The sequence below is a fragment of the Homo sapiens genome, chromosome 5 (genome assembly GCF_000001405.40).
Source record: "Homo sapiens chromosome 5, GRCh38.p14 Primary Assembly".
NCBI classification, from domain to species: domain Eukaryota; kingdom Metazoa; phylum Chordata; class Mammalia; order Primates; family Hominidae; genus Homo; species Homo sapiens.
The window spans coordinates 116920806-116935231 of NC_000005.10; the positions used below are offsets into that span (position 1 = coordinate 116920806).

Here is a 14426-nt window from a genome sequence, read left to right on the forward strand (position 1 = left end):
GGCCCAGGCTGGAGTAGTGGCATGATCTCAGCTCACTGCAGCCTGCGCCTCCCAGGTTCAAGTGATTCTCATGTCCCAGCCTCCTGAGTACACTCAGCTGGGACTACAGGCATGAACCACCACACTTGGCTAATTTTTTTTTTTTTTTTGTATTTTATAGTAGAGATGGGGCTTCACCCATGTTGGCAAGGCTGGTCTTGAACTCCTGACTTCAGTTGATCTGCCCGCTTTAGCCTCCCAAAGTGCTGGGATTATAGGTGTGAGCCACTGCGCCTGGCCTGGACAAGGATTTTAAAGAGCAGGGTGCTAGCAACAGATGATGGTTGCATTGAAGCCTGCTCCTCTCGTGCCTATTGATTTTGTTTTTACTGCTATTCAGGGAAAAAAAAAATCATCCAATGAAACTAATATACACTGAGGTTTTAGGGGACTAATATATTGCTTCCATTAGAAGAAAACTTTTTCATCTTTCCAAAAACAATAGTGATTTTGTGATGTTAAGCTATTTAGAAGAAAATGCAACTGAAAGCTTTAAATGCATATGTATGTACTTATAATCGAAACTAGGGTGCCTCAGAACACACTTGCCTGTGGAAGTTAATAATGGAGCAACAATAATCGTCATAAAACTGTGTTTCTTTGGACGCACTTGGCCTGTCAATTTTGTCCTCAGTGATTTTGGGGTTCATCAGGGAATCCTTCTTCTGCACATGTGTCCTTGTGACCAGCAGTCCTGCTGTTGCCCTGACTGCTCATGCTGCTCCTGAAGCCAGTGAAGCTCTCTGAGGCCTAATAGCCTTGTCATCTTCTGATGTTAGGAGACTCCTAATGTTGCACATGCTCTAGGTACAAGCCCCGAGCAAAAAATGTCCTCTTCTCCCTCTCATGGGTGCATATATTCTAAGCTTTGGAATCTTGCTCTTTAGTGAAACAGATGCTGCAGTGCGTTGAGTGGTGGCTTGCCGGAATGTTTGTTCATATCCTGACTCCTGAAACCTGTGAATGGGACCTTGTTCTTGAAAAGAGTCTTTGTCAATGTATTAATAATTAATGTAACTAATAATGAAGTAATTATTAATTACTCAGTGTAATTAAGGATCTCTAGATGAGATTATCCTGAATTATTTAAGTGGATACTAAGTTCAATGACAGGTAGGTGTCCTTGTAAGAGACAGAAGAGGAAGAGACACAGACAAAAGACAAAAGAGGGGAAGGCCATGTGACAATAGAGACAGAAATTGGGGTTATGTGACCACAAGCCAAGAAAGGCCTGGAGGCATCAAAAGTTGGAAGTGTCCAGGAAGGATTCTTAGACCCTTTGGAGGAAGTGTGACCCTGCCGCCTCCTTGATTTCAGACCTTTAAATTCCAGAACTGAGAAAGAATTTTTTTTGTTGTTTTAAGACACTGAGTTTGTGGTGATTTGTTACAGTAGCTAATTAGGCACATAATACAAGTATACTTTTCAGACTTCATTTCAACCACTTTTCTCTAAGACTCAATATGAATTCCTGAGGATTGGGTTTAGGACAATCTACATGACAGACTGTGATATACTCAAAATCAATCCTCAATCAGATATTGACTCAACCTTCAACCACACTATGTGCCTCAGCTTTCTCTTCCCTTGGGTTGAAATTTTTTCATATATATATATATATATATATATATATATATATATATATATATATTTTTTTTTTTTTTTTTTTTTTTTTTTTTCTCCTCAGAGACTTCCCCAGAGCCTGTGATAGGCTGGATGTCACACATGAAGTGGGTTATCAGCAGCCATGTTCCTTGGCTTCTGGTCATAGTATTAGGTTGATGCAGAAGTTGTGGTTGCTGCCATTACTTTCAATGGCAGAAAACACAGTTTCTTTTGCACCAAACTACTAAGTTCAGAGGTAGACACCTAACTCACACCTAGCCACCCAGTGGGGGTGGTGGTATTGAAACCTAGAGCAGTGGGTGGATGAAGCTATCACATGTAAATTTGGAAATGGGTATGGCCATGTTTCATGTAGTATACTGGGGAAGAGGAAGTGTGTCTTTAGAGAGAAAAAAGGATACAGGTAAGAGAAAGCAGGTCCCCAGTGTGATCCCTTTCCTGGTTCTTTCTCAAGAGCATTTTGGCTCTTAGTTCCCCATCATGAATGTAACACATTTGCACTTTTTTTTTTTTTTTTTTTTTTTTTTTTTTTCTTAAATAAGGTAGAGTTGGTTGGTATTTGTCATGAAATAGTCCTTAGTGAAAGCAAATCCAATTTCTGGGCTCCCCAGTCCTTCCTAGAAGCACTGAGTCCCTGCCATCTAGCACTTTGTAGGTACAAGGCACTCTGATCCACATTATCTCATCCCAACTTTGTGTGGGAGGGTGACCTTTGAGACATGGGCAGAGGAGATTTGACCCATCCTTAACATTTAAAGGCACTGGGCTTAGAGAGGATGACAGGGGCTCTGGAATCCCAGTGCTTCCTGATCAGTTCTATTCTGTTTAAAACAAATTAACAACCAAAGCAAGACTAAACGGTCCCGGCAGGATGTGAATATGAAAGATTCTTCAGCATAGAAGGTTCAGAGCAGGAGGAATAATGGAACAAGTATATTCCATGACTACATTCAGGGCAGACAGTGGGAAGGAGGGGGTTGGAGGAAAACAGAATTGCCCAGTCTGAGAACTATTAAGAGCTCCCAGCCCTGGGAAGGATGGATGACAAGGGAGCACCAAAGAGGTAATTGGGCCCCTGATGTGAGGAACAGTCATAAATAAGCCGACAAAGTCACAATAAGCCTAAAGCATCCAGCAAGGATTAAGCCCCATTAGCTAACCTGTTAACATAGAGGTATTTGGCTGTTAGAAGACAGTTTTACTTTAACCCATGCATTGTCTGTACCAGAAAACTGTAAATAGAAAGCGGGCTTTGTAGGTCTATATGTTTTAGATTTCAACATTTTCTAAAGAGTTTGGGAGCATAAATAGTGAATATCAGAGAGGACTCTTGTGATTCCTGTCATCCTCCTCATTTTCAAACGTCATTCAAATTTTCTGTTTTTTTTTTTAATAATAATTATCAGTCACTACTCTCTCTGCTGCAGCCTATTTTTCTCTCTAAGCTTTTGATTTTTATCTGCTTTTTCCCAGCAGCAACAGTTTTCAGGTGTGAGGCCAACTATAGTTGAAAATCCACCCAATGGTTCAGTTATCATTTAACTGATATTTTATTGAGCACCAACTAGGTGCCAAGCATTGTTCTAGAAGCTCAGGACACATAGTGAACAAACATTTCTGCCTTTTTGGAGCTTACATTATAAAGCAGATGAAAAGGAAAAAATGTTATGGGAGAAAATAGAACAAGAGAAGGGCTGAGGAGCATGGGTTGCAAGTTTCAAAAGACTGGTAGTGGTGGTTATTATTTTCGGTCCATCTCCTAGCTGCTGAAGTTTTCTATTTGGCTCATCCTCAATCCTAAATGCTTCAGGACAGGCACTATGTCCCTTATTTTAGGATTCCTGCTTCAGTTAGTTCATTAGAGTTGAGATAATCCATGCTAAGAGCCCAGGATTAGAAATTTAGCCCATTAAAAAATACTAAGCCATGAGGATAAAAAATATTATGTGTGTGTTACCTACTTACATCTTTATACTTATTCCAATGCCTTGTTGAATAAAAGGACAGCCTTCTTTCTTCTTTTTCATATCAGGATTGACATTAATCATGGCATCTACTTGTCCTCCATTCACTTTATTATGAAAATCATTGGGATGGAGGAGGAAAAGTCAGTCTTCCATAATCAGCCTGGCTGTTTCTGACATTTTTAGGAGAAACAAAAGGAATGTAATTACTATTATTATCTATTTTTTCAGAAATGCAAGATAATTTTTAATTTATCCTCTATGACACCCTTCTTGTTTTCTCTGCCTTCTGAAGAGTTGACATCAGTGGGGAACTACATTTGAAGTCCAGCAAATCAATCTTTTATTGAGATTTCAGGATCCAAACTTGCATAAACTGCTTCATTCAGACAGCTTTTCTGCCTTTGCTGAGTTCTAATCTTGCCCTGCAGGATCAGCTATGTAATTTTTGGGGCCCAGTGCAAAATGAAATATGAGGCCCTTGTTCAAAATTAAGAATTTTGAGATGGCAGCAGCAGAGCATTAAACCAAACATGGGGGCCTGCTGAATGCACCATGAAGCTGACGCTGCCTCCTATTCCTGTTTTTGAATCAGGTGTTTATTTGCTTTAAAATCCGCAGTAAAAATCCAATCCAATGAAAATATATGGTGATACTTTTCAGCCTTAATTTTATGAGAGAAACATTTTAGTTATATATAAACTGAGAAAGAAAACTAGCAAAGGATTTACTGGATGTATAAAATTGAGAAAGCACAAGCTCTTTTTGTTTAATATAAATATGTAATTAAAAGAAAAATTATTAAAAATAATTCATCTTAGAAATAATCTTGAGAGTATAACTTGAACACTTTCTTATTAAATACAATAATAGCTAAATTATAATCTGCTTAACCAAGCTTCCCTGGTCTGCATATCATGTTCACATTCCAGGAAACATTTTGAAATAGGGAAATAGAATAAACCAGATTTTCAGGGCTAGTATTTGGAGACAAGGGAGGTGAGGAAAATACTTTTCATTTTGGAAGACTGCCATGGGAATCATCTATTTAAGATAAGTTTTCTGGCTCACAATTGCAGTGATCTTGCTCATCATCATCATTATTATATGATTTATATTTAGGAATATGTCATACATATTACATGATATATTTAATTGTATACTATACATCATGTAATAATGACAGGATATCACTATCACCATTTATATTTAGGGATATATCACTATTACATGATGTGTAATATGTCCATTGAAGCAAATACTCACCTTTGGCACTATCTGAGCAAAACTGCCAAAGGGAACCAAATTCGTATTGAGCAGTTCTGATTTGAGAGAAAGGTACAGGGACACATACTACTACATGCACCTAGGTGCACATGCACTATCATACTTACACACATCATATTTTAGAGCAGGGGTTGGCAAATATGGCCATCAGGTCAAATCTCGCCTGCAGGCTGTTTTTATAAATAATGTTTTACTGGAACATCACCACACCCATTTGTTTACTTGTGTCTATGGGGTCTTTGCACTGCAAAGGCAGAGTTGTGTAGTTGCTGTGAATTCCACACAACCTTCTAGGATAATAAATATCTTAGAATATTTATAGAAGAAAGTTTCCTGATCCCTTGTTTACCATCATTTAACTGTTGAAATATTTTTCTAGTAAATGATTACACCTATAAAATAAATAATAAAAGATACATTGTTTATCTACATATATTAATTCCTATTTATACATATATATCTCAAGGCAATGATTTTGACAGTTTAATTGGCATAAAACAATATCGAGACAAGTTATTTTTCTCTAATTGTAACAGACAGGACTATATTGCTCTGTATTCCTGGCATGATTTATTTGGTTCTCCGTTTGTCTTCTTTAATATGCAGGGCCACCAGCAGGTTAAACAGTTGTATATTTTCCATTTAAAATTTCCATAATCTTTTTTGTGTGTGTGTGAAAACCTAAAAATTGTGGTAACTTACCTGGAGACCTTGTGGAAACCATTTTGCTTTGATTTTTCCAATCACTCACAGTAAATCAGCTACTGAATATATTTCCCCGTTAGGAGTTTTTGTTTTTTTTTTTCACAGTTTCAAAATTATGTGATTTACTTACCAGTAACAGAGAATGAACTTAAAAGAGTAGTTTAAAAAATGAACAAAAATGCCAAGAATGTAACATAGAATTTAATTTTTCAACAGGTATTATTTACTTACTAACATAAAACCAGTCACTTTACTTTCATAGATCAAGTTTAAACCATACACACAGCAAGAGAGGTGAGCATATTTTCTCAAGCAAAAAGTAAAGGCGGATGATTATGGAGACAGTGTGTGTAGACTCACAAGGTCTCTGGGAGAGAATTATTTGAATTGGTGACTTTAAGGAAACCTTGGGTGTGGTATTTATATATTCTTCCAGGTAAATTTATATCACCCCTCCTTGCCTTTTAGAAAGATTATTTTTATTGAGCACAGAATAGTTATCAAAGAATATTTATTACATAAATATAAAGTATCAAGCATGATAATATTCACTATTTAATTTAGGGAAAAGAACATTGCCATTGGCTTTGACATTTCCTATGTGCCCTTCCCCATCCCAGCCTGGTCTCCCCTCTCTCTCAGAAGCAACCAATATTCTAAATGTTATTTCTCAGCCCTTTCTGCCCTTTTAATTTATTTATTGTTTTATGTTTCTAGGAAATTTTATCACATCTATAGATTCATGCAACCGTAGCTATAATCAGAATCCAGTACTTTTCCATCATTGCAGATAAATTCCTTTACGGTACTCCTAAAGAGCTGTACTCTGCCCCAACCCTAAACCCTGGCAACCACAGATTGGTTCTTCATCACTATAATTCTGTCATTTTGAGAGTGGATTGGCTTTTTTACACTCAGCATAATGTCACTGGGGTTCACCAAAGCTGTTAGTATATGAATAGTGTGCTTTATTTCTGAGTGGTATTCCATTGTGCTATAGTATTATAAAAAGTACTATAGTTTATTTATCCATTCACCCTTGAAGGACATTTGGGCTTTTTTTTTTCTCCTAGTTTTTGTCTATTATAGGTAAAGCTGCTATCAAAATTCACATAAAACTTTTTTGTGTGGAAATATAAGTTTTCATTTATTTAGGATAAATACCTAAGAGAGCAATTTCTGGGTCATATGGTAAGTATATATTTAATTTTATAAGAAGATACTGAACTGCTTTCCAGAGACACTACATTTCACATTCCCATCAACAATATGCTAGAGGTATGATTGCTCTACATCCTTGACAGCACTTGTTATTATCAGTATTTTTTATTTTAGCCATTCTGATAGGTATCTCTAACAGGTAATATAGGGGTATCTCATTGTAACTTTAGTTTGCCTATCCCTAGTGGCTAATGATGATGAATATCTTTTCCTGTGTTTATTTGCTATCTGTTTACAGTTGTTCCCCTGTATCTACAGTTTCACTTTTTGCAGTTGACTGCAGTTTGAAAATAGTAAGATATTGTGAGAGAGAGAAAGAGACCAAATTCATATAAGCTTTTATTGCTCTATTATTATAATTGTCCTATCTCATTATTAATTTTGTTAATTTCTTTCTATGTCCAATTTATAAATTAAACTTTATCATAGATACGTAAATATAGGAAAAAATCATAGAATGCAATCAGCCCTCTATATCCACAGGTTCTGTGTCTGTGGATTCAACCAACCATGGCTTGAAAATGTAGTTAGGTCTACAATGGTTGCCTCTGTAATAAATATATACAGACGTTTTTCTTGTCATTTTTTTCATAATCTATACCAAGCAACAACTATTACCATAGCATTTATTATATATTAGGTATTATAAGTAGCCTAGAGATAATTTAAAGTATATGAGAGAAAGTGCATAGGTTATATGCAAATACTGTGCTATTTTATATAAATGACTTGAACATTTGCAGATTTTACTAGCCACAGGGTGCCTAGAGCAAATCTCCCATGGACACTGAGGGACGGTTTGTATGGGGACTCTTGGAAGTTATCCTGTGCTGATAATGAGGGACTACAGTATACTCATTGGCGAAGTGTTCATTCAAATCTTTGGGTTGTTTTCTAATGGGATTTTACATGAAAAAAATGCTCAAAACCATTAGTCATCTAAGGAGATGCAAATTATAAGGAGTTAACACTACATGTCCACTAAGAAGGCTCAAATTGAGATGCCTTAAAATGCAGTGTTGATGAAGATATGGAGCAACTAGAACTTTAATGCACTGCTGGTGGGAATGTGAAATGGCTCAAGCACTTTTGAAAACAGTATGACAACTTCTTATAAAGTTAGCCATATAACCAGAAATGAAAACATATGTTTGCACAAAAATGTCCATACTGCTTTTATTCAAAATTGTCAAAGCCTGGAAACAAGACAAATATCCATCAGCATATGAATGAAGAAACAAATTATAATACTTTTGTACAATGGGATACTACTTAGCAATAAAAAGGAACAAACTATTGAAACATGCAAAAACTTGGATGAATATAAAATACATTATGCTGAATGAAAGAAACCCAAACTAAAAGAATATATATTTTTATCACTCCATGTATAGGAAAGCCTATAGTAGATAAAACTATAGTGCCTAAAAGCAAATCAGGATGGTCTGGGAGAAGAAATGGGGAGTCTCAACAAAGAAGAATGAGGAAATTTTCGTGACTAATGGAAATGTTCTGAATCTTGATTAAGATGGTCGTTTTCCAGATGTGTACATTTGTCTGAACTCATTGAATTGTACATTTGAAATGGATACATTTTATTTATATAAATTATAGCTCAGTGGGGTGATTAAAACACTTAAGAATATTTTCAAAGTTATTTTTGGGATGAAATGTTATATTAGATAATTCTGAGGCAGTCTAATTTTTCTTCATTTACAGATAAATTTTCATTTCTGCCTAGATCCTAAAAAGATCTTGTTTTCTTCATTTTTGTAGATTAGTACATGTTTAAATCTGAATCTCTTTTCATGAATCTTGTTCGTGCTTTCATAATGCCTTCAATCTGAAAGATTTGGAAAGCTGTAATTTTTTTGCTCTCTATTTTTTTCTTCTCTTTCTCCTTCCTCTGTTGCTTATTTTCTTCCAGTAATTTTGATCTCTCCTCTTGAAACATGATATATTGTTGTTTAACCCTCTTCTATTCCCATCTTTTCTAATTTTTTAAATCTCTCTGCCTTTCTGAGAACTTCTTAAGTTTCTTCACGCTGACTCCATTTTCCTGAGACCCAAAAATGCTTCTTACACTAGCACTGGAGTTTATTTTAATCGTGAATTATAGCTTCAGTTTATTTATATCCTTTCTTTGTCTTACACTACTACCTTTTATTTTCTCTTGTATTCTTTCATTGTGGCTTTTACTCCATTTCTCCAAACACAGCACTTCTTTCATTCATTTATTTCTATAATTTTATTCTGGTTGCCCATCAGAAATAATTTTTAGAGTGGGTCCTTGTGTCCATTGAGATTCTTTTGGTGCATACAACAGAAAATGATTCTAAATTAAGGAAGAAAAAACACGTTCAATGGCTTACAAAACCAGGGGGACTGGAAGGAGCCAAGGTAACAGGCTGATGGTAGGAATCACACACTATTGCAGTGATGAAAAACTCCAACCCCTCTTCAAGACTAAATGCCAGGCAGGGGCACTAGTTTATCTCAATTGAGTCAGATAACTGTCTCTTGGCTAGAAACCAGGGGGACTTCCCAAATACAGTCTCAAGGTATTGTCTCCAATAGAGAAATATTAATTCCTGAAATATAAAAAGATCTGTTAGGAAAGGAAGTAAGTTTTTGGTCACCAAACCCAACAGATACCCCAAATAATCTTCTGAATTGTTAGGATGGTATTTCTCTCTCATTGTCCTGATGTATATCTTCTTAAGTATCTTGCTTCTTGTTTTTGCTGTTTTCTTGTTTATTCATCCTGGAATGAGGGGAGATCTCTGCAGACCCTGTATTTGCCAATGGATATAGTAAGGCTTTTTTCTCCTGTGTTAATCCCAGCTGATTCATTGATAAACTTATTCAGCAGGATGGATGAAAATTCACACTCCCAAGAATTTAGTGCTTTGAGGCTTTAAAAAGGCTTCTACTCTTTTACATTTTTTGACTAATTTACAAGAATTAAACTTATCAAGATGGAAAGGGACACAGCTCCTTTCTCCGTTTACTCCTGTTTTATTGTTATGGTGGAGTTGAAACTGTCTAGTGAATATAATAGGATTTCTATTGGGATGCTTTTCTCTAGCCACCTCTTATAGCAGTGGGTCTGTGACTGATAGTTCTAAATGGTACAGGGCTGGGTTACTGAGTTGGAGGACAGCCAGAAGAGCAGCCCAAACAGGAGAGTCTGTCTAGGTCCTTTCAGGCTGCTGTGTCAGCTTGTTTTCTGCTGCTAAAGCCTGTGTCAGTTGCCCAAGAATAATCAAAGCTTACTTGTAGGTTTTGTATTAGTAGATCTTTCTTATAATTTTTAAGTATTTTTTTAGTGTCACTATGTGTTTTTTAAGTGTTAATGATTTTATAGATGCTTTATCAGAATATTAGAAGAGATATCAGTAACCACCATTTATCACAGATTCCATTTACTAAAGTAGATAGAATATGTATAGTAGAATACGCACTTATCACATATTCTATTTATTAAAGTAGCAACATATTTAAGCATTAGATATTTAAAGAGTGCCTTGTTTGTTTTCTGTGCCAATTAGAGGTACCTTCAGGATTGCAAAGGAAGATGGGAAATGAAAAGGTTTCTCTATGGGAGGCTTTTGGAGTTTGCCTACTTTTTCTCACTTCCACCTTGGGTAGTACTTTTGCTGATTCATTTAGCAAATCCTTATCCCCAGACAGGCCTGTGATCAGCTCTCCTGGAGGCTGATCACCATCTATAACAAGTGATTGGACTCCATGTTGGGAGAGACATTTATTTTTTCAAGAATAAGGATTTAAGAATTTCTTTGAGATACATTCACAGAATTACTTCAATCAAATGCATGTTTGTGCCATTGTCTTCCTTATAATGGTATTAAAATATGTTCTATTAAATATTAGAAGTCTGATGGTTTTTTTGAAAAAATATAATTTCTGTAGAGGTTTATCACAATAACTAGGGCTGTTTATGAAACTGCTGCTACAAGGGAAAAAAAACAGGCTGGCCCACTCATACCAATATGGAAGAGAGAACAGCAAATGAACAAAGTGAAAAGGCCAGTTTTTCTGTTTTCCCTGACTATTCAAAAGTATCTAATATAATTTGTTCCAGTGCTGAGGGCAATTAGAATCTATATCTCTAAACTCTTTGACTGAAGTAAGCTCTAAGCAAAGGAAAAAAGACAAGGTATAACTCAGAGAAAAATTTAACCCATTCATCAAAATTAAGCCACATGAATAAGTAAAGCTAGGCATAAAGAAGAGAGAAAACGTATTTCATTTTTATCTTTTTCTCCAAGTTGAAGTCAAATGCATGGGAAAAACCTCAGTGCATTTCATTTCTGATGCTTTTGAAGTCTTTTCTTGAAACTGCAAATTATTGCTTTACATCTTAACATCAAGCTCTAAAAGTGATTGTTGTTTATTCTGGAAGTTCGGTTTTTAAAAATTCCTTCTTGTCAAAGAGGAATAAATCCTGACAGGCATATAACAAGAACCAGTGCTCCTTTTTATAGCAAAGGGTCTATAAAATAAAAATGCTCCTGAGTAAAAAAGTGACCTCCAAAGAGACTTTATTAAAAACGTCTTATTATGGAATTCAGTATATCACTTTGGAGGGCTAGTTAGGTGGCAACCATATTGGAGACCTATTATTGTTTTCCGCATAATAGTAAATATCAAAATAATAAGCATTTGACATATTTCACTTGGAAGAAGTCAAACTCTCTGAAGGTTTTTCTGAGTTGACTGACATCTGACAGGGAATCCCTAATCCCTTCCCTCTAAATGATTGCCTGTGATCTCAGGGTTTTGACCCTGCATTTGTCTGCTTTTTGTGAGCTTCTCAATAGAAAGATGCTATCAAGTGCGTGTGTGGTATGGGAATTGGCTCACAAGACAAGGTTGCACAGGGTTTATGTAGCCATGTGTTTCCATAAAGTCTACAACTGCAATATTCAGGCGGAGAGATAAGAACAGTTTTTTTTAAAGAAGAATATCTTATTATTTTGTCAAAACTCTTGGAAATCTATGAATACTAAAGCCAAATTAAATGAAACAAATACTTCTTACGTTGGTTTTATTTTTACTCTCTTATTTCAAGTGGCTTTTGAAAGCCCTTTGCTTCATTTGGAAGCATTCCTTTGGCCATGGCACATGAGAGGGGGAAGACCTATTACAAAAGGGAATAAAAATTACTTAATCTTAATTCATAAAATCTTAGATTAGAAGCAACCTTTGAGATCATCAGTCCAATCTCTTTCTGAAGATAATCATCTAGGCTCGCTTGAGCATTTCTAGTGATTAGAAACTCATTATGTTTTAGAGAGTCATTCTCTTTGGGGAAATTACTAGAAGATCTTTCTTATCTTGAGATTAAATCTGCATACCTGTTAACTTCTACATCTCAGAGCAATACAAAGAAGATGATTAATCATTTCATTTAAAAATAGTTATCTTAGGCCTCTTCAAATGTTTGAAGAAAGTTTCCATGTCCCCACCTGAGTCTCCCCCTCAACCTCTTTCCCAAGGTTAAACATATTCACTTCCTTCAACCATTTCTCAGAGAAAAAAGTTTTCAGAGTTTTATCAGACCAGTCACCTCTGCATGAAATGACAGTATCTCTCTACAAATTTCAGCTTAGTTTTGGCCAAGTAAGATCACTTTAAGGAGTTCTCAACCCTGCCCATGCATTTGAGTCGCCTGGAGAACCTTGACAAGTTTTACTTCCTTTGTAGACATTCGATTTCAGTTGATATGGGATGAGACCTGGACATTAGAATTTTCTAATGTAAAAGAAATAAAACCCCTTCTACTGAAATCACCTGAGTCCCAGGCAGGGCTTTAGAATTGAGAGCAAAGCTAGTTAATAAATGTATGACAAGGCCCAGCTGAATTTTGAGCAGGCTATCTAAACATTTCAGGAGAAGATGATATTTACCATTTACCAAGAAGCCTGGTATCAGGCTAAGTGTGAACTAATTTAAATACAAAACAATAAATAAGAGCCTGAGGCTCAGAGCAACTAAGTGACGTGACCAAGATGATATTGGCCACAACAAAGAGGCAAGGAGATTCCATACTAGGCTATAGAGACCTTGAGCCAACCTCTTTTTGGATAAACTGGTTTTCCTTCTTCCATTACTGTCTCTTCTAGAACAAGGGCCTGAAATGGAAATGGTGGCTGTTGGACCACAAGAGTCAGTTGCTCTTAGGCTGCTTCCAAGCCTAGTGTGAGAGAACACTGAGTGAGGCCCTTTGCTATCCAGATTACTGAGGCAGTCCTGGGTAAGGTGGGCCTCTCCCACTAGTGCCCTTGCCCTGCATCCTTGCCTACCAAGCATCCTGAATACAGGAGGTAAAACTAGGGGTGGAGGACAGTGCTGTTCAGAGACTGAGTGGCCTGGCTGCAAGGACATTTAGCACAGAGGAAGCCAGTAGGGTTTGGTGACAGTCCCTACCATGGCCTTCATGTTCATTCCCCTTCGATACTTCAAACCAGAGCAGCGGGCCTTTCTCCAACAAGTATGTGAGAAAAAAAAATGGGATGGACACTTGGAACTGAGTAAAGAAACAGATCAATTTGACATACTGAGCATTCATTCCCAAGATCCTTATATAGCTGAAGAACTATCTGGTACATATATATCAACCATGTTAAATACTATTCACCATGGTCTGACCATCCCACACAAACCACTTCCTCAGGGCACGTCCTTCATCCCTGGCATCCCAAACCCCGTGTGGGTTCTCGTGGAGCTTTTTTAGTAAGGGCAGTCATGAGAAAGCTTGGAGTCTCTGGAGGACCATTTTCTTTTACTTACTTTTGTCATGTTATTTTAAAAAGAAAAAAAAAGCTTTGCCTTTTTAGGTTCATCTGTGTTTGATTTTTAGGTGATTACTTTAGCCTATGAACCTGTAAGCATTCAGGGACTGGGTTAAAATCCTGCCTGTTACTTACAAATATTGACCCTGACAAGTGACAAGTAGTGATCTGTTTATGAAATACGTTTTGTTTTTAAATCTGTTGAGGAACAGACTTGAGCCAGATTAGTCTTGTATCTCACTAAAACTTTAGCCATAAGAAATATGTATTGTTTTCTTAAGAGTTTGCTCATTGACTATTTTAGTGTCGGTTCCCCTGGAAGTAGACCTTGAGTCAACAATTTGAGTGCAGAAGTTATTTGGGAGTCAAGGAACACTAGCTTGGGCAAGGGGAATTGATGTAGGGAAGGAAAGAGAAAATAACAAGTGAATTATTAGGCCACCTCTCACAGTGGGGTAGCATAATTGCATGGAGAAACTCTAGAAAGGTAGTGTAAAACAAGTCTTAGAATTATCCTGCCAAGGAGTAAAGGAGAGGGGATATTTATGCCCCCACATCCATTAGTCATTGGACAGGGACTTTCTCTGGTAGTTCTCACGTCTACTCTTTAAAGATGCAGAGGCTGGCTGGTGGAAGCCTGGTTGGGCATGCATGAAAATAATACGTGGGTGAGAAGAAATTTGAGGGAAACACATTAGACATGTTAAATGTGGTAACTAAGAGGAATAAGGGAGTTTGTTGCATCTGGAAAGAGAGATATAAGCAA

General features: G+C 36.6%; 1 long non-coding RNA gene across 2 annotated transcripts in view; it reads right to left on the minus strand.

The window, feature by feature from the left end:
* Positions 1-610: 610 nt before the first annotated feature.
* LOC105379137 (uncharacterized) overlaps positions 611-14426 on the minus strand; it is a 32012-nt gene continuing 18196 nt past the window's right edge. For both annotated transcript variants that reach the window (XR_948694.3, XR_948693.3), the window contains exons 2-3: positions 3631-3802; positions 611-996 (exon numbers count right to left, since the gene is read on the minus strand). This is a non-coding gene — a long non-coding RNA (uncharacterized LOC105379137). The remainder of the gene's footprint in view (positions 997-3630; positions 3803-14426) is intronic.